Below are 19743 nucleotides of genomic sequence, written 5' to 3' on the forward strand. Positions count from 1 at the left end.
TACTGTTAGCACAAAAACAGTGACAGCCCATAAGCAAACAAGTCATAGCTGTTTCCATAAAACTTTATAAACACTACAATTTAAATTTCACACAACTTACATATGTCATAAAATGTTACAATTTTTATTCTTTTTCAACCACTTCAAAATGTAAAACAGCCGGGAATGGTGGCTCATGCCTGGAATCCCAGCACTTTGGGAGGCCAAAATGGGAGGATCACTTAAGCCCAGGAGTCCAAGAACAGCCTGGGCAACAAGGCGAGATCTCTACTAAAAATTAAAAAAAAAAATAGCCGACTGTGGTGGTGCAAGTCTGTAGTCCCAGCAACTCGGGAGACTGAGGTGGCAGAATCACTTGAGCCCAGGAGTTCAGAGGCTGCAGTAAGCTGATTGTACCATGGCACTCCAGCCTGTGTGACAGAGAACCTGCCTCAAAAAAAATATGCTGAGGCCAGGCGCGGTGGCTCACGCCTGTAATCCCAGCACTTTGGGAGGCCGAGGCAGACAGATCACCAAAGGTCAGGGTTCAAGGCCAGCCTGCCCAGCATGGCAAAACCCTGTCTCTACTAAAAGTACAAATTAGCAGGGCGTGGTGGCGGGCACCTGTAATCCAAGCTACTTGGGAGGCTGAGGCAGGAGAATCACTTGAACCCAGGAAGCAGAGGTTGCAGTGAGCCAAGATCACGCCACTGCACTCCAGCCTGGGCAACAGAGCGAGACTCCGTCTTAAAAAAAATCTATGCTGAAACACCATTTTTCAACTTGAGATTGGTAAAAATCAAGTTTGATAGCCCATCAGGTAGGAACTGATACAAAGAAACAGGTACTCCTATACACTGCCATGAAGGCAAACCAACAGTACCCAGCAAAAATTATAATGCACATACCCTTTGACTCAGCAATTTCCGAGGATGATCTAGGTAAGCATGTTCACCTATCAATGATGTACTGTACTGTACATCACCTGTCAATGACGTACAGTACAGTACATTCACTGCAACACTAATTTTTTTTTTTTGAGACAGAGTCTTTCTGTCGCCCAGGCTGGAGTACAGTGGCGCAATCTCAGCTCACTGCAACCTCTATTCAATCAGGTTCAAGTGATTCTCCCGCCTCAGACTCCCAAGTAGCTGGGGGATTACAGGCGCGAGCCACCGCACCAAGCAAAAAAATTTTAAAAATTAAAAATAAAAACTGACTGATTACTCATCAGTGCTAGGCTAGTTTAGAAGGAATGAGTCTGGAGCAGCACTTCCAATCAGTGACAATCAATTTGGCAATCCCAATCACAGAAAACAAGTGGGGGGATGCACCAAAGCTTATTTTGAAATGCATCTATCAGTAACGGGTGCCAAGTTGCACATGACCTAAGAGGTATTGGCCCAAACAGCCCTTTTCCCCACAAGGCTGGAATTTGTTTAAAACCATTTTTGCCCCTACCCCTCCTCCACACCTTTTTATCCTTTCTATACTCATTTCTAGGACGCTACTAGCTGCCCATCCTAAAGCTACAGGATTAATGCCTCCTACTTTTGGCTGAGAGCTCCCACTTCCAAAAATTAAGTATCAGGATTATTTGTTCAATCTCTGCAGATTTATTGTTGAGTAAACTTATCTTTAAATAATACAGAACAATTAAAGCTAACCAAGTGCAACAGATAAATAAGCCTGCCAGTTATACACATAACTTTATACCAACCATAATTCAGCCAGTCAAAATTCCAAAAACAATCCAAATAACTTCCAACATACTAGCGGTCAAACTACCGAATAAACTTGATGCAGACCAGTATTCCCAAGTTGCAATAGTATCCAATGACTTTGCTGAAATGCATAAAATGGACAAGCCTAGGTATCTGCGCAACCAGCAGGTTTTTTTTTTTTTGTACCAAGGCTAGAGAATGCCTGGTAAAAGCTTGACCAGAAAACTCTCAAAAGTAACTGTTACTGCCCTACTATTCTTAAGATACTTAAAATTTGAATAAAGAACCTACTGGCTATGTAACATTCTAAGGTCTACCAGATGCTACCAAAAAATATTAGCTACATGGAGTGTTGCTAAATATAGCTGAGATTTACAAAACCACTTTAGTCTCATTGACATTTCTGATTGACATCTTTAATTACTTTGCACCAGCCTGGCAAAATAGAAGAATGTTGTGGTTGGGAACTGCAAAACCTAGCTTGAAGATTAACAACAGGTCTTTGCTCAGAATAAGACAATCCATTTGAATAGATGAAGAGTATCTGGGCTGGAAAATTTTGCAAAGCTGGTTTACATGAAGGTGTTTTGTCCCAATTTCAGACAATTCCTCAAACATGCATTTTTTGGTATAAAACTGGTTAACTAATGTAGAAAGCAAAGAAACAAGACCATTGAGAGTAGAACTCCCCATATCTTGGGGAGTCCTAATTAACACTATGCCACCTAGTAGCCTGAAAGCTGCAATTAGTATAAAGATCATCCAGAAATGTTTCTATTTCTCATACATTTAATCAGTTTCGTTTAGTTCCTGTCATGCTCATTTAGACACATCAGTGGTCCTACTTGCTTCACCACTGATCATACAATACCTACTAACACCAACTTCAAACGGATTAGCTAACTTAAGGATCTGTCATGATGCATTCAGGCTGTATCATAAGGGACTCAGGTCATCTTACCCAGAGCTACAAGGGTAAGATGGAATTTTCAAAGTCCCTTAAGATCCTGGCCAAGTTTTATGCATAGAATAGTGATGTTCAAGACTTAACCAACACCTTTCAATTCTGAATGTAGGTATGTATGAATAAGGTTAACAATTATAATGTCTGACTCTCAAATATATCAAATTAAGAAGTGTTAATATTGAACACAAATCAAAAATCTAGTTAGAAACATTTTATTTAAATGTGCCAAATAAAAACCCACATTTTCAGACCATATGATGTTAATACATTCAACAAAATTTATATTATCTTACTGCTGTGAATTTACATAGTAATCCAGATCCATTTTGATTAGATGGTTGAATTATCTTTCCTAGGTTACACTTTACAGACATCACAAATCCCTTATAATAATGTAAACAAAATAACTTTTCCCTAAAGGGTGAACTTGAGAGCTTCAGTCCATTCTTTCAGGACTTGCACTTCTGCGAGGACTTCCTGATGGGGAACGACTAAAAAGAAAAACATTAGGTTTGGATCCAATTAGTGTCAATTGAAACTCTCATGTACATGTACTAACTTTCAATAACTTCAAAGGTGGCCTAAGGTACTAATTTCCTATAGCAAAGACCTAAAAATGACATGAAACTTACATATATTCATCTTTTGTCCCTGGCTTAAGATTAGGCTACCCTGGCCAGGCACGGTGGCTCACGCCTGTAACCCCAGCACTTTGGGAGAGGCCGAGGCAGGTGATCACCTAAGATCAGGAGTTTAAGACCAACCTCGCCAACATGGTGAAACTCCGTCTCTACTAGAAATACAAAAAATTAGCCAGGCTTGGCGGTGGGTGCCTGTAATCCCAACTGCTCAAGAGGCTGAGACAGGATAATTGCTTGAACCCGGGAATCGGAGGCTGCAGTGAGCCAAGATTGAGCCACTGCACTCCAAGCCTGGGGACAGAGCGAAAACTCCATCCCAGAAAAAAAAAAAAATTAGGCTATCCTCCTTGTCAAAATTGCAAGGTCAACCTGCAGTTAAATATGACAACTATTTGAAGTCTTCTGGTCATTAAGAAGCACTAGATAAATATGACAACTATTTGAAGTTTTCTGGTCATAAAGAAGCACTAGGCAGGTAACTATTTCCAAGACTTTTCTCCACACTTTGTATCTATTGTACATGTGGGGAAAAGGCATCTATCTTACCAAAATTTCTACCAAGTACTCACAGGACCAATCACATCTTAATAATCACCCTAACATTTTATGACTAAGTATTTCCAGCAAAAGTATAAACTAATGTTACTGAATCAAAAAAAAAAAGTATTTCAGAAACTTAGCATAGTATTTTAATCTATATAGCACCAATTCTCCAAAGAGCTCAAAGACTGCAAAGCAGTAAGCAAACAAATTCTGCAGAGGCCACACTTGACAGGCAAGATTTGGCAACAAAACATTTAGCTTACCTTCTTTTTGGAGATGGAGATCTGGACTTTGATCGGCTGTCAAAACATGAGAAATTCTATTAAAGAAAGAGTACTAACCAATCCCTTTCTTGTAGTCACCAATACCGTAAAACCCCCAAATGTCCTAAGCTTAAAATGTCAGACTGCACTTAAACTGAAAAACATCCTACCAGTTGTTGCTAACAAAAGCCAATCTTTCAACAACTGTTTTTCAAAAAATGACTCAATTACTACATCATGATTAATCTTTTACATTCTGCTTTAAGCACATCGATTTCAGGATGCTTCTCCATGCACCTATCAGTTCTAACAAGGGCCTCTTTAATATAATCCCCCAAGTCATAAGCTTCTTTCTCACTATAGTTTTACATTCCCTTGTTCAGGGAAAGTCAGCCAGTAATAAATAGGACATACACAAATAAGGTACTGTGTTCCCACTAAAACCTAAGTTTAGAGTTAACACTTAAAATTTCAACAATTAAAAACACTTTGAACTCTTTGGATATTGGTGCCATATAACTAGAAAAGCATAATCAAATTTTTACCCTACCTGCTTCTTGGTCGTGAAATAGACCTGGATCTTGATCTTGACCTCGACGGGGATCTTAATAAAAAAAGTGAAAAACACAATTATATCAATCAGTCCAAAGGAATTTCCTTAACTACTCAACACTGTATTAGGTTGGTCAGGCATAAAGAAGCTAAAACTAAACAAGATGCAACACTTGCCTTATTCTGTCTAACACACTGTCAAACAAAGTGTTACCAGACATAAGGAACCCCCATTTCAATTACTTGTTTCTATCACTCAATTGGTTAGTTTCTGTACAGGTATAACATTCTCAAACACTGTGTAATATCCAAGGGAAATACATGGTTTTCATTTGATGAGACTGGTATGAAGGAAGCAAAACTAACCTCACTTAAGGCACAGATCCCTCAGCTGGGCACTGTGGTACACAATGGCAGTCCCAGCTACTCAGGAGGCTAAGGCAGGATGAAAATAACCAGACCCCTGAACTGAGACTAATTCAGGTGATAAGGCCAGACGAAAAGAAAGCCGCCCCCCATTTGTAAGGCTTTATTCCTGGATCAAGTTATGTTTGAGAGCCATCAATCTGTCAGACAAACCAAATCAGACTGACATATCTATCTTTTAAATTTATCTAAAGAGATGGTTCATAGCTTTCTCAAATAGACCACAAGATTCAGAATTCCTGCATTTAAAGGTTTTGTGCTATTAAACAGCAATTTAACTCCCAGTAGCATTCCGTACCACGGTTTTATCGTTGGTACAGATAACAATATTGTTAATTACATGTTGCAATACTTATTTTACAATTTTTTCCATTCTATCTCCTTTTAAGGCCTTCTACAAATAGTAAAGCTCTGGTTCTTTAGTTTTTTCAGGTCTGAAACGGTCTAAAAAAAAAAATCCACATTCATTTCTGTGTACACACTACTGCCCTAGTCAACTTTCCAGTGTCTCAAATCAACCCCATCATTCCAAAAATGAGAAATGTTTCTACTTGCTTCTGATCTCTTTTCCTGGTGCTAATAGGCCTTTTTGTCGGGAAAATCAATTACCATCTTTCAGAGCTAGTATCATCCAATCTGAAGCCAGAAAAGTTTATAGCAACATGCCTACCCAGAGTGTTGAGTAGAACTGTATTGCTTGGGACCCTTGTCTACCACACGGCCTAACAAGCCTTAAAATCTCTAGTAGCCCTTTTCTTCATCTGTAAAACTAGGTTAATATTTATGTTACAAGTTACACATAAATTCCAAACTTTTACATCTCAAATATTCCCTGAAGCAATCCATTTGAATTATGTCCTTAAGACACTCTACTGATAAGATGTGAACAATCCAAACACAAGTAAGGAAAAAAAGTGTTACATACTGGAAATACCTCGATCCTTTTATAGAACCAGACCTAGATCTTCTGAGTGAAGCTGATCTTGATCTACGAAGAGAGATAGATCTTGATCGTCGAGGAGATGCTGACCTTGACCTAAAATAAAGAACTTTAAGTCCATCTCCACAGTTTTTTTTTTTTTTGGCCTGTTAAGACTTCAACTGGGGAACGGTGCAGTGGCTCATGCCCATAATCCCAGCACTGCGGGAGGATCGTTTGAGCCCAGGAGCTTGAGACCAGCCTGGGAAACAGTGCAAGACCATTTCTACAAAAATAAAAATTAGCTGGGTATGGTGGCAGTGCCTACAGTCCCAGCTACTCGGGAGGCTGAGGTAGGAGAACTGCTTAAACCCAAGAGATCATCAAGGCAGCAGTGAGTCGTGGTTATGCCCCTGTACTCCAGCCCGGGTGACAGAGCAAGACCCTGTCTCCAAAAAAAATAATGAGCTTTTTCTGTGTTGGACTACCAGTGAATTTAATAATAATACAGAAAGACTTCAGTTAAACAAGATCTCACCTTCGTCCCCTGCTCCTGCTGCGTGAGCGAGAGTATCGCCTTCCTCTGGATCGAGAATGTGATCTAGACCGTGACCTATTTTTCAAGTTAGAGAAAAAACAAAATGTCAGACAATAACTCGTTTTTAAGAGTTTGTGTGCCTCTGCTGAAATCAAATCTCAAAACTATTTAAATTTAGTGTCTCATTTGGAAATAAACTCTGGGCCTATTAGTTGTTGAGTATTTTTTTTTTTACTACCTAAAAAAAGATTTGTTAAAAGCTGAATTACAACTTAGCATTACATAATATAAAACACTGTAATGTGTATTTAAAATAAACCTTGCAAGTTTGCAGGTCGACCCTCTTTGGCCCATGGTCTAGTAGATCTAGACGATCTAGAAGTATCTATAGCCGATCGCTGCATCTAGATGTTTTCTTCAATCTAACGACGATCAAACTGACAGCCAAATGAGCCAGGTGAGGCTTGATTGACGCAAGAAGATTTTTCTAGTTGGGAATGTGGTCAATCTGGTGTTCCTCTTTCTAAACCGGAGGGGGGCCCCAATTGTAAGCCAAATTTACTGTTACGGCGATCACCGTCTCAAATTTTCTGCCCTTTAAAGAATAAGGTGAAGCTAGGTGTAGATGACTCGAGGGGATCTGGCCTCTTATGCTGATCACCTCAAGGTCTAGGAGGATCTTAATTGTCGGATTTGCAAGGCGCCTCAGCATGATATCATAAGGCTCGTGACATTCTGAATCAAGGCGACTGACTCAAACGAAGAAACCTGAAAGGTTTTGACCAGGTTGATTATTAATATAGTAACATTTTTTTAATTAAACAAAAATTGTAAAATACACCTGTACAATTAACATTCAAGTTTATAGAAAAACACTAGTTTCTGCCTTGCTAATAAAAGAATTACTTGATTAACTAGAATACCAACCATTCCTTTATTAAAATAAATACCTGCTTCTTCTTCGCCGGCTGTAACGATGACAATCATAAGCATAATGTCCCTTTTCGCCACACTCATAGCATCTATCATTTGGATCAAAGGGACGTCGGGCAGGTGGTCTATCAAAACGTGATCTCCGAGGCATGCCTGTCGATAGTTCAACCCTCACTCGGGAGCCACAAATCACCCTAATAAAAGCAAATTAACAAAATTCTAAAGTTAAAAATATATTCAGGACTTATAGATTTAAAAAGAACTCTTTCCAACCACTCACTCTTTCCAACCACTCCTTCCCCCCCAACAAACTTTGGCGGTCTTTACCAAGCCCTAACTCCATCTCCGCTATCTTCTTTAACCTTCGTGTGCCTTTAGCATTTAACACTATGACCAGCTATTTAAGGTCTCTTCCAGACTTCAGAATCCAAATTTAGCACTAAGTTCATTATCTAGCCACAGTATATTTTAATGAACAGAAGATTCATAACATCTTACTTACTTTCCATCCAGTCCTCGTACTGCATCTTCTGCATCTCTAGGATCTTCGAATTCCACAAAGGCAAATCCTGGAGGATTTCTCGCAATCCATACAGTTCTTAAAGGACCATAATAACTGAAAGCCCTTTCTAACTCTCCTTTGCCAGCGCCAGTTCCCAGGTTACCAACATACACCTTGGTTTCTGTTTAAAAACGCAAATAGAAGAATGCACGTTACGCAAAATCTGGCCCAAGTTTCAATTACTTATTTGCCTTAAAACGGGCCATCCTCAAGATTGGGTAAAGCACATTTAATGCCCTCTATCCAAGACAAAACTTAGTCGTAAAACTGGTGAAAGTCCGCAAATCCCTGAGAAACTAGACTTTTGACAAAATTCTTAACGTTCTAAATAATGCGGGGTGACCCTCCCGAACACAAGCAGAAACGCGTGGTAGGATACACCGAGGCGTGGGGCGGAACCTGGCCCGGCCCCACCCATGAGTCCCGGCAGCCCCGGGCGCACCGGGAGCGCGCGGGCCCGCAGCGGCAGCGGCGTCGGCGGCGGGAGGGCCTCGGTAGGGGCCGGGCCAGGAGAGCAGGGCTGCGCCGGCTCTCGTCCTCCGCGGCAAACGTCCCAGGCACAGGCTCGCCCAAGACTCCAGCTCCCCGCCCCAGAGCCATAAACCGCGCTGGAAATAACTAAAAAAAACCCAGCCGCCAGTCGCAGATTACGTCCCCATTCCCATTCCGCAATTTAACCGATTGTTTGACGAGAACATGCAGCTCACAGCTGCCAATTTCGTTCTATCTCAAACACAACCACGATCTTACAGCTGCGGCCAGATCTGTCCGCTGAAGTGGCGGGAAAGCGCTGAGGAAATGCGCCACCACGGTCCTCAATGTGCGCAAAATGGCAGCCGCCGCCGAGGGCGGGGGGGGAGGGGGGCCGGCGGGCAGCTCCGAGAAAGGCAACGCGAAAACCGTCATCTCAACCCTGCTTTAGGCTGGATTGGGCCACAAAAATGCCCAAGAGTACGGAACTCGGCAGAGATGTACACCCGCCATCCCGTCTCCCTTCAGCACCCCGCCTCCGCTGCCTCCGGCTTCGTCTGGCGTGCTCCTAAGCCGCCATTACGCACGCGGAATAACCGTCTCCCAACCTCCGCGACAACCCTACGGCCTCGCAGTGCTCACTACACCCACACCAACGTCCCTCACCGGACTCCAGCTTCTTACCTCCTCCGTACCGCCCGTAACGCGACATGATGACAGACCCGCGTGCTCGGCTCTTTAGCAAGCAGCGCCCAGGGCTCGAGTGACGCAAAAGCTGACACACACCTTCACCCGCCAAGAGTCCCGGCGGCACTACGAGGAAGAGCCCGGGTTCGCGTTTATATATGCGGCCGCTGCGCTTTGCGCATGCGTCATCTCGTTGTTCTGCGCGGCACAAAGGAGCTGGGCGGAAACAGCCAAGAAACGACGCGGAAGGAACTGAAGAGACTAACACGCGGGTCATGGGCGGAGGGATACGTTTCTATGGGAACGCCACGATCTCTCCAGTAAACCTGAGGCCTTCCCCATGCTGTCCCGCCCCCTCCTCTCCCCGTTTTCTACACCCTCCTTGTCTTCTTTCCCGTCTCCCTACCCTCTGCCTCCTTTCGTTTTTCCCCAGGCTAGGGACCCTCAGCCTTAACAATCTTAGTACGGATGCATTAGACCGGCCTATGAAAGGCTGTACAATTTAACCGCTGATGTTGCAGCCGTCGCGCCCTTCTGCTGGGGGACCTGGCCTAGTCAGCTACTCTGATCTTTGGGGCTCATCAGAGGTAATCGAAGGTTTGGCCATGGTGAAAAGTCCATGAACCCCGCCATTCTGAGTAGTGGTTTTTACACCATAGACCTTGACGCACCCTGGGACTGGTGGTAAAGCCTCCTGTCCTACACGCCCCCTCCAACTTCTTTTGAACCAGTCACCAGTTTGCACCACCACGGTCTGAGTTCTTGGAGTCTGAAAGACAAAGGAATAGAGCTGTGGGGTCCCGCTCCCCCCTCCCCCCTTTATATTGAAATTGTGACAAAACCCTGAATGTTTAAAGCATTTTGGCCAGTGACAATTTGGAAATTATTTGCATCTGAAGCTCAAAGTAACTGATTTGCTTTTCCTAATGCTTTCTGCTTTGTAACACGTGTGATCCACCAATACTCCGATCCTGAGGACTGGGACTCCTAAGTCATCTTTGTGTATCTCCACTCAGTGGAAATAGCAGCCTTGCTGCTCAGCCACTCAACAGTACCAAATAAATGCAAAACTTCTTTACATTAGAATTGCTCTAGACACCAACTACAAATAGAGAAAAAGTTCTTTTTTGCTAGAAACATAGACATTACATCGTAAATTCTTGGAATACACAAAAGTTGGAAATGTACATAAAAAAAGACATTTAGGTATTTGCATTTTTATCTTTTTCGTCTTTTGCAACTTCATTTGGTGAGTATAGGTGTGGAATGGAGAGTACAGGGAAAGCAGGCCTAGTTGGTGAATAAAGCATGGATTCTTTCCAGGTCATGCTATGATTTTATGCATATTTTTTACGTTGATTAAGTTATGGAGAGAATTAATCTCTCTCAGGAAGATCTCTAAGAAGAAAATAGAAGCTCTGTAGAGTATATGTGTTCTCCCTTAGTCTTGGTGATTTTTTTCTTAACAAGGTTCTTCTCAAAAGAAACAATAATTATAAAGATCTATAGGTTCTTCTCAAAAGAATTAAACAATAATTATAAAGACTATATAGGGGCCAGGCGCAGTGGCTCACGCCTGTAATGCCAGCACTTTGGGAGGCCGAGGCGGGCGGATTGCCTGAGCTCAGGAGTTTGAGACCAGCCTGGGCAACACAGTAAAACCCTGTCCCTACTAAAATACAAAAAATTAGCCTGGCGTGGTGGCGTGTGCCTGTAGTCCCAGCTACTCCGGAGGCTGAGGCAGGAGAACTGCTTGAACCCAGGAGGCGGAGGTTGCAGTGAGCTGAGATCGTGCCACTGCACTCCAGCCTGGGCGACAGAGCAAGACTCCATCTCAAAAAAAAAGATTATATGGTATCTGAAAGATAAAATATAAATTCTGTAAAGCCTCACTAAGTTGACTTTCTTCTGTTAAGAAGCTATGAAAATTACTGTTGAGGCCGCGCGCAGTGGCTCATGCCTGTAATCCCAGCACTTTGGGAGGCTGAAGCTGGCGGATCACCTGAGGTCAGGAGTTCGAGACCAGCCTGACCAACATGGAGGAACCCCGTCTCTACTAAAAATACAAAATTAGCTGGGCGTGGTGGCGCATGCCTGTAATCCCAGCTACTCGGGAGGCTGAGGCAGGAGAATCGCTTGAACCTGAGAGGTGGAGGTTGTGGTGAGCTGAGATCTTGCCATTGCACTACAGCCTGAGCAACAAGAGCAAAACTCCTAGGCCGGGCGCTGTGACTCACATCTGTAATCCCAGCACTCTGGGAGGCCGAGGCGGGCGGATCACCTAAGGTCAGAAGTTCAAGACCAGCCTGGCCATGGTGAAACCCCCGTCTCTACTAAAAATACAAAAAATTAGCCAGGCGTGGTGGTGCGCACCTGTAATCCCAGCTACTTGGGAGGCTGAGGCAGGAGAATTGCTTGAACCCGGGAGGTGGAGGTTGCAGGGAGCCGAGATTGCGCCATTGCACTCCAGCCTGGGCAACAAGAGTGAAACTCCATCTCCAAAACAAAAGAGCAAAACTCCGACTCAAAAAAAAAGAAAATTACTGTTGAGCCAAGCATAGATAACTGCTTGAAAGACAGTGCATGTTATACTGTATAATTCCTAATAAACCTCAATAAACTTTTTTTTTTCCAATAAACTTTTTTTGACTCTGAATACAAAGTCTAAGTCAGGTTTTGTGGCTCATGCCGGTAATCTCTGCACTTTGGGAGGTTGAGGTGGGAGGATATCTTGAGGCCAGGACTTTGAGACCAGCCTGGGCAACAGAACCAGACCCCCATCTCTACCAACAAAACAAAACAAAGTCTATAGTTGTACTAAAGAAATTTCTAAGCAAGTAATAGTAAACAGAAGCAGTTTTAAAATTTATAACCAATTGCTTTCAAATCCTGATTCACAGACATGCTTGTCTTGCAGACAGGTGTTCAATAAGCTAATTACATACTGTTTATTCCTATGAAAGCAGGGCCAGTACAAGGCCAGGCTTTGTTAATCTGGTTACCATGAAAAAATAATAGTACTGTATACTATTTCCATAGACTATTCTACTTTCTACTGAACACTCTTTCTCTAAGAACAGGCAACCAATTCTTTTCACTAAATGTCAGTCCAAATCAGGGAGATTTTACTGTGCAGAGAACTTTTATTCCTGCTGATTCTTGTTGAAATCACATTCACCCACATAAGTTTCTGCCTCTAGAAATCTGTTAAATTTAGATTACATTCTCAGATTGTTTGAATATGAAAACTACTTTCTTCAAATATTGTAATATTTCCTAATATGAAATATTAGTTATTAACATGTTACTATTGTTAAATTTTAAAAATATTATTAGTTTAGGAAAGGGGAGTAATTCATAAGCCTTTTACAGCAGTTTTCAAAATGTATCTGCATTTTCTACATTTGGTATTTCCAGATAAATATTAAAGAAAAAGTTCCCTTTTTAATCGTACTTCTCTCACCATTTCAGTTTCACTTTTAAGTCATTATCACCATTTGAGCTTGGATGTGAAAACGTTAAAACAAGAAAGGAAAAAAAATTTAAATGTTTTGCACATTAGTCTATTTTGTTTGTTTTTTTGTTTTTAAGGCAGGGCAAGAAGTGGGCAGACCTCAGACTCCGCCTCCTGGACCCCAACTTCCCCCTCTGCCACACCAATATTCTATTTTTAATATAAATAAGTAGTCTATGCTAAAAAATACTAGTCTTTTTTTTTTTTTAATTTTATTTTTTGAGACAGAGTCTTGCTCTGTCGCCCAGGCTGGAGTGCAGTGGCACGATCTTGGCTCACTACAACCTCTGCCTCCCAGGTTCAAGTGATTCTTGTGCCCCAGCCTCCAAAGTATTATAGGCATGAGCCACCATGCCCAGCTAATCTTTGTAATATTAGTAGAGACGGGGTCTCGCCATCTTGGCCAGGCCGGTCTCGAACTCCCGACCTAAAGTGATCCACCCAACTTGGCATCCCAAAGTGCTGGGATTACAGGTGTGAGCCACCATGCCTGGCCTATAGTCTATTCTTTTTTTTTTTTTTTTTTAATTGATCATTCTTGGGTGTTTCTCACAGAGGGGCATTTGGCAGGGTCATAGGACAATAGTGGAGGGAAGGTCAGCAGATAAACAAGTGAACAAAGGTCTCTGGTTTTCCTAGGCAGAGGACCCTGCGGCCCTCCGCAGTGTTTGTGTCCCTGGGTACTTGAGATTAGGGAGTGGTGATGACTCTTAACGAGCATGCTGCCTTCAAGCATCTGTTTAACAAAGCACATCTTGCACCGCCCTTAATCCATTTAACCCTGAGTGGACACAGCACATGTTTCAGAGAGCACAGGGTTGGGGGTAAGGTCATAGATCAACAGGATCCCAAGGCAGAAGAATTTTTCTTAGTACAGAACAAAATGAAAAGTCTCCCATGTCTACTTCTTTCTACACAGACACAGCAACCATCCGATTTCTCAATCTTTTCCCTACCTTTCCCCCTTTTCTATTCCACAAAACCGCCATTGTCATCATGGCCCGTTCTCAATGAGCTGTTGGGTACACCTCCCAGACGGGGTGGTGGCCGGGCAGAGGGGCTCCTCACTTCCCAGTAGGGGCGGCCAGGCAGAGGCGCCCCTCACCTCCCGGACGGGGCGGCTGGCCGGGCGGGGGGCTGACCCCCCCCACCTCCCTCCTGGACGGGGCGGCTGGCCGGGCGGGGGCTGACCCCCTACCTCCCTCCCGGATGGGGCGGCTGGCCTGGCGGGGGCTGACCCCCACCTCCTTCCCGGACGGGGTGGCTGCCGGGCGGAGACGCTCCTCACTTCCCAGACGGGGCGGCTGCCGGGCGGAGGGGCTCCTCACTTCTCAGACGGGGCGGCCGGGCAGCGACGCTCCTCACCTCCCAGAAGGGGCAGCGGGACAGAGGCGCTCCCCACATCTCAGACGATGGGCGGCCGGGCAGAGACGCTCCTCACTTCCTAGATGGGATGGCGGCCGGGCAGAGACGCTCCTCACTTTCCAGACTGGGCAGCCAGGCAGAGGGGCTCCTCACATCCCAGACGATGGGCACCCAGGCAGAAACGCTCCTCACTTCCCAGACGGGGTGGCGGCCGGGCAGAGGCTGCAATCTCGGCACTTTGGGAGGCCAAGGCAGGCGGCTGGGAGGTGGAGGTTGTAGCGAGCCGAGATCACTCCTGGGCACCATTGAGCACTGAGTGAACGAGACTCCGTCTGCAATCCCAGCACCTCAGGAGGCCGAGGCTGGCGGATCATTCGCGGTTAGGAGCTGGAGACCAGCCGGGCCAACACAGTGAAACCCCGTCTCCACCAAAAAAATACGAAAACCAGTCAGGCGTGGCGGCGCACGCCTGCAGTCGCAGGCACTGGGCAGGCTGAGGCAGGAGAATCAGGCAGGGAGGTTGCAGTGAGCCGAGATGGCAGCAGTACAGTCCAGCTTCGGCTCGGCATTAGAGGGAGACCGTGGAAAGAGAGGGAGAGGGAGACCGTGGGGAGAGGAAGAGGGAGAGGGGGAGGGGGAGGGGGGGAGGGAGAGGGAGAGGGAGAGCCAAATACTAGTCTTTAATATATATTTATGTATGTGCTGTGTATGTGTGTACTGTAGGTCAAGCCAAACGGCTATGTTCAGTTTTTCTTTTTCAACATTTCATGATTTTCTGTTTCCTCTAGAATGCTGTTAGGACATTCTGGGAAGGAAGAGGCATGTTCATAATTCTTTCATACTGTATTAAGAAATTAATTTCTCATTAGCCAAGTACAGGAGAACCATCAGTACTAAAAGATGAGAGGCTAGAGACAGCAATAGTTAAAGAACTGCAGTGCTTTGACCAACTTCAAGAGTGAAACTAGGAAAAGGAATAACGTGATGTAGGAATGCCCCACTGATACAAATATTACCTAAATGGATGGTTTAGGTGTGTAAAACAATCTAGGTAATGGTGAGGTTTTCTGAGGAATGTTACATTGTATTATGAAACGGCCGGATAAGGTGGCTCATGCCTGTAATCCCAACACTCATAAGGCAGAGGTGGGTGGATCGCTTGAGCTCAGGAGTTTGAGACCAGCCTGGGCAACATGGCAAGACCCTGTCTGTATTATTTTTTAAAAATAATTTTATTATTTATTATTATTATTTATTTATTTATTTATTTTTGAGACAGAGTTTCGCTCTTGTTGCCCAGGCTGGAGTGCAATTGCGCGATCGCGGCTTATTGCAACCTCCGCCTCCTGGGTTCAAGCAATTCTCCTGCCTCAGCCTCCTGAGTAGCTGGGATTACAGGCATGTGCCACCACACCCAGCTAATTTTGTATTTTTAGTAGAGACGGGGTTTTTCCATGTTGGTCAGGCTGGTCTGGAACTCCCGATCTCAGATGATCCGCCTGACTTGGCCTCCCAAAGTGCTGGGATTACAGGTGTGAGACACCGTGCCTGGCCCAGGGGCTGTTTTTCTAATGAAGGAATAAAGGTATTTATGCATAAAAATACAATGGACTGAGCCTAGTGGCTGATACCTGCAATCCCAGCACTTGGGAGGCCAAAGCAGGAGGATTGCTTGAGCCCAGTTCAAGAGCAGCCTGGGTAATATGATAAGACCCCCATCTCCACAAAACAATTAAAAAACAAAGCCAAAAACAACAGTAAACAACCTTCCATGGTACCTAATTGGACAGAATAATTCTAGGAAACAGTGGGGTGGGTTTTTGTTTGTTTGCATTTGTTTTTAAGACAGGGTCTCTCTCCCTGATCCAGGCTGGAGTACGATCTCAACTTATGCAGCCCGGAACTCGCAGGCGCAAGGGATCCTCCCACCTCAGCTTCTGACTAACTGGACCTACAGGCATGCAACAGCACTCCTGGCTCTTTATTTTTCTGTAGAGATGGTGGGGGTCAGGGAGATGGGGAAGGGAATCTCACTGTGCTGCCCAGGCTGGTCTGGAACTCCTAGGCCCAGGCCCACTTTGGATTCCCAAAGTGTTGGGATTACACGAGTGAGCCACTGCGCCTGGCCTCTTTCTTTTTTTGTTTTCTTTTTTTTTTTTTTTTTTGAGATGGAGTCTTGCTCTGTTGCCCAGGCTGGAGTGCAATGGCATGCAACCTCCGCCACTCTGGTTCAAGCTATGCTTCTGCCTCGGCCTCCTGAGTAGCTGGGATTACAGGCCCATGCCACCACGCCTGGCTAATTTTTTGTATTTTTAGTAGAGACAGGTTTCACCATGTTGGTCAGGCTGGTCTTAAACTCCTGCCCTCCTAATCTGCCCTCCTCAGCATCCCAAAGTGCTGGGATTACAGGCGTGAGCCACCGCGCCCGGCCCCATGAATCTTTTTTAAAAAATCACATTCAAGACTGGGTGCGGTGGCTCACACCTGTAATCCCAGCACTTTGGGAAGCAGAGGCAGGCAGATCATCTGAGGTCAGGAGGTTGAGACCAGTCTGGCCAACATGGTGAAACCCCGTCTCTACTAAAAATACAAAAATTAACCAGGCATGGTGGCATGCGGCTGTAACCCCGACTACTTGAGTGACTAAGGCAGGAGAATGGCTTAAGCCTGGGGAGGCAGAGATTACAGTGAGCTATCATGACATTGCACTCCATTCTGGGAGAGATAGCAAGACCCTGTCTCAAAAAAAAAAAATTAAAAATCACATTCAGTTTTATACCTTCCCAGTCACTATTTGTGACTGTCTGTTTTCTTTAAAAGTCCTGTAGTATTGACATTTTATTTTTTGATAGATTTGCAAACTCAAACTATTTCACTTCTATAATTACATGAGCCAATTCCTTACACTAAATCTTGATAGATAGATAGATGATATAGATATAGATATCCTACTGGTTTTGTTTCCCTGGAGAACCCCAACTAATACAATGCATTGTGCCATAAACAATTTTCTAAGTCATTAAATATTCTTCTACAACGTTTTGTTTGCATAGTATTCCATTAATTAGGAATCCTCTCGTAAGAAGTTTAGATTGCTTTCATGTTTTATGTTATAGGTAATGCTGAAGTGAAAAACAACAAATCTGCAATGGTTTTGGTTCTCAGTACCTTCCTTAATACTGGATGTTAATTTTTTAATCTGCCAAATTTGATTTTAAAAATGGATTTTTGGGCCAGGCATGGTGGCTCATGCCTGTAATCCCAGCACTTTGGGAGGCTGAGGCAGGCGGATCACGAGGTCAGGAGATCGAGACCATCCTGGCTAACGTGGTGAAACCCTGTCTCTACTAAAAATACAAAAATTAGCCGGGCGTAGTGGAGGGCGCCTGTAGTCCCAGCTACTCAGGAGGCTGAGGCAGGAGAATGGCGTGAACCCAGGAGGCAGAACTTGTAGTGAGCTGAGATTGTGCCACTGCACTCCAATCTGGGCGACAGAGCAAGACTCTGTCTAAAAAAAAAAAGGATCTTTTTGGCCAGGCTCAGTGGCTCACGCCTGTAATCCCAGCACTTTGGGAGGCCAAGGTGGGCAGATCACAAGGTCAGGAGTTCGAGACCAGCTTGGCAAACATGGTGAAATCCCGTCTCCACTGAAAACACAAATATTAGCCAGGCATGCTGGCACGCACCTGTAATCCCAGCTGCTCAGGAGGCTGAGACAGGAGAATCACTTAAACCCGGAAGGCAGAGTTTGCAGTGAGCAAAGATCATGCCACTGCACTCCAGCCTGGATGACAGAGAGAGACTCCTGAGACAACAACAAAAAAAAGAATCTTATATTTTTTAATTTGTATTTTGTTGATTTACAGTGAGGCTGAACATTATGCTTATTGGCAATTTGTTTATGTCCTTTGCTGATTTTTTTCTGCTGGGGTGTATGTTCTAGCTTACTGATTCATAGGAACTCTTTCTACTTCAAGGACATCAGTCCTTTGTATTCACTGGTATATTTTTCTGACTTTTGTAGTATTAACAGTTAAATGATTACTTTATCTTAAGTTTGTTATAGTATATGTACATTGAAAATAATCATAACGATCTGGTAAATGTTAATTTAGGTTGTTTTTTTTTTTTGAGACAGAGTATCACTCTGTTGCTCAGACTGGAGTGTGAATGGCGCGATCTCAGCTCACTGCAACCTCTGCTTCCCGGGTTCAAGCGATTCTTGTGCCTCAGTTTCCCAAGTAGCTGGGACTACAGGCGTGTACCACCACATTCCTTACCTCAACTCCTGATCTCAGGTGATCCACCCGCCTCGGCCTCCCAGAATGCTAGGATTACAGGCGTGAGCCACTGGTCCCGGCGAGCCACGTGCCCGGCCTATGTTCTTGTTCTTGTTCTTTTTCTTTTCTTTGTCTCACTCTATCACCCACACAGGTCACTGTGGGCTTGACCTCCCCAGACTCAGGTGATCCTCCCACCTTAGCCTCTAGAGTAACTGGGACACGGGCATGCCCCACCACATCCGGCTAATTTTTGTATTTTTTTGTAGAGACAGGGTTTCGCCATGTTGCCCAAGCTGGTCTTGAATTCCTGGGATCAGATGATCCTCCTACCTCGGCACGCCTCTACCTCTGCCTCTCAAAATGCTGGGATTACAGGCGTGACCCACTACTCCCAGCATAATTTAGTTTAATTAAGTGCCAGTCGTAATCAGTGGTGAAGACAGATACAAGAAACATAATCAGAAGACAAACGTTTAAAAATACAGTCTGGGTGCAGTGCCTCATGCCTGTAATCCCAGCACTTTGGGAGGCCTAGGTCGGAGGATTGCTTGAGCCCAGGCTTGAACTCAAGCTTGAACTCACTTGAGTTTGAGACTAGGCCAGACATCATAGAAATACTTCATCTCTATATATAAAAGAAAAGAAAAATAAAAATGTCACATTACAAAAATAGGACTGGGCGCAGTGTCTCATACCTATAATGCCAGTACTTTGGGAAGTGGAGGCAGGTGGATCACCTGAGGTCAGGAGTTTGAGACCAGCCTGGCCGATATGGTGAAACCCTGTCTCTACTAAAAACACAAAAATTTGGCGAGGGGTGGTGGCTCTCTCCTGTAATCCCAGCACTTTGGGAGGCCAAGGAGGGTGGATCACTTGAGGTCAGGAGTTTGAGACTAGCCTAGCCAACATGGTGAAACCCTGCCTCTACTAATAATACAAAAATTAGCCAGGTAGGGTGGCATGAACCTGTAATCCCAGCTACTCGGGAGGCTGAGGCAGGAGAATCGTTTGAACATGGGAGGCAGAGGTTGCAGTGAGCTGAGATCGTGTCACTGCACTCCAGCCTGGGTGATAGAGTGAGACTCCATTTCAAAAAAATAAAGGAGAAAAAAAATTTCCCTTCTAATTGGCTACATGGCTTTTCCACTCAGAACTGAACCTGTCAGATAAATGTATAATTAACCTAGCTTTTATTTATTTATTTCATTTTTATTTCTTTTGAGACGGAGTTTTGCTCTTGTAGCAAGTTAATTGGCTGTGCCTGGCCTGATAAATGCTTGTTTTTACACTGAAGATTCAGTTATGTTTCAGGTTTTTAGCAACAGTAATCACTAACCTTTTAAAAGCTAGGTTAAGGCCAGGTGCCGTGGCTCATG

At 44.3% G+C, this 19743-nt stretch overlaps 1 protein-coding gene across 7 annotated transcripts, besides 4 other annotated features; it reads right to left on the reverse strand.

Moving 5' to 3' along the window:
• Window positions 1-1572: 1572 nt before the first annotated feature.
• Window positions 1573-9468, reverse strand: SRSF7 (serine and arginine rich splicing factor 7). 7 transcript variants are annotated; one of them, NM_001363802.1, is made up of 8 exons: window positions 9203-9468; window positions 7988-8168; window positions 7503-7679; window positions 6553-6627; window positions 6030-6131; window positions 4668-4721; window positions 4118-4153; window positions 1573-3161 (listed from the first exon to the last, which is right to left on the reverse strand). In NM_001363802.1, the coding sequence occupies exons 1-8, from the start codon at window positions 9228-9230 to the stop codon at window positions 3107-3109; spliced, it is 708 nt and encodes a 235-aa protein (NP_001350731.1). In that variant the 5' UTR covers window positions 9231-9468; the 3' UTR covers window positions 1573-3106. The 7 variants fall into 7 exon arrangements, 5 of the variants coding, with proteins under 5 accessions (NP_001350731.1, NP_001026854.1, XP_005264542.1 ...); NM_001031684.3 differs by having other exon boundaries at window positions 6021-6131; window positions 9203-9335; XM_005264485.3 differs by lacking the exon at window positions 4118-4153.
• Window positions 8420-8609: a silencer, noted in NCBI's record as "silent region_11380". NCBI's record gives its function as "represses an Ori minimal core promoter by ATAC-STARR-seq in GM12878 lymphoblastoid cells {active_cell/tissue: GM12878}" and the evidence as "EXISTENCE:reporter gene assay evidence [ECO:0000049][PMID:35858748]".
• Window positions 8820-8919: a silencer, noted in NCBI's record as "silent region_11381". NCBI's record gives its function as "represses an Ori minimal core promoter by ATAC-STARR-seq in GM12878 lymphoblastoid cells {active_cell/tissue: GM12878}" and the evidence as "EXISTENCE:reporter gene assay evidence [ECO:0000049][PMID:35858748]".
• Window positions 9780-9839: an enhancer, noted in NCBI's record as "active region_15610". NCBI's record gives its function as "activates an Ori minimal core promoter by ATAC-STARR-seq in GM12878 lymphoblastoid cells {active_cell/tissue: GM12878}" and the evidence as "EXISTENCE:reporter gene assay evidence [ECO:0000049][PMID:35858748]".
• Window positions 13183-13934: an enhancer, noted in NCBI's record as "NANOG-H3K27ac hESC enhancer chr2:38982351-38983102 (GRCh37/hg19 assembly coordinates)". NCBI's record gives its function as "activates a minimal SCP1, AML or CMV promoter by ChIP-STARR-seq in naive H9 embryonic stem cells {active_cell/tissue: H9 hESC(naive)}" and the evidence as "EXISTENCE:reporter gene assay evidence [ECO:0000049][PMID:30033119]".

The sequence above is a fragment of the Homo sapiens genome, chromosome 2 (assembly GCF_000001405.40).
Source record: "Homo sapiens chromosome 2, GRCh38.p14 Primary Assembly".
Taxonomy (NCBI): domain Eukaryota; kingdom Metazoa; phylum Chordata; class Mammalia; order Primates; family Hominidae; genus Homo; species Homo sapiens.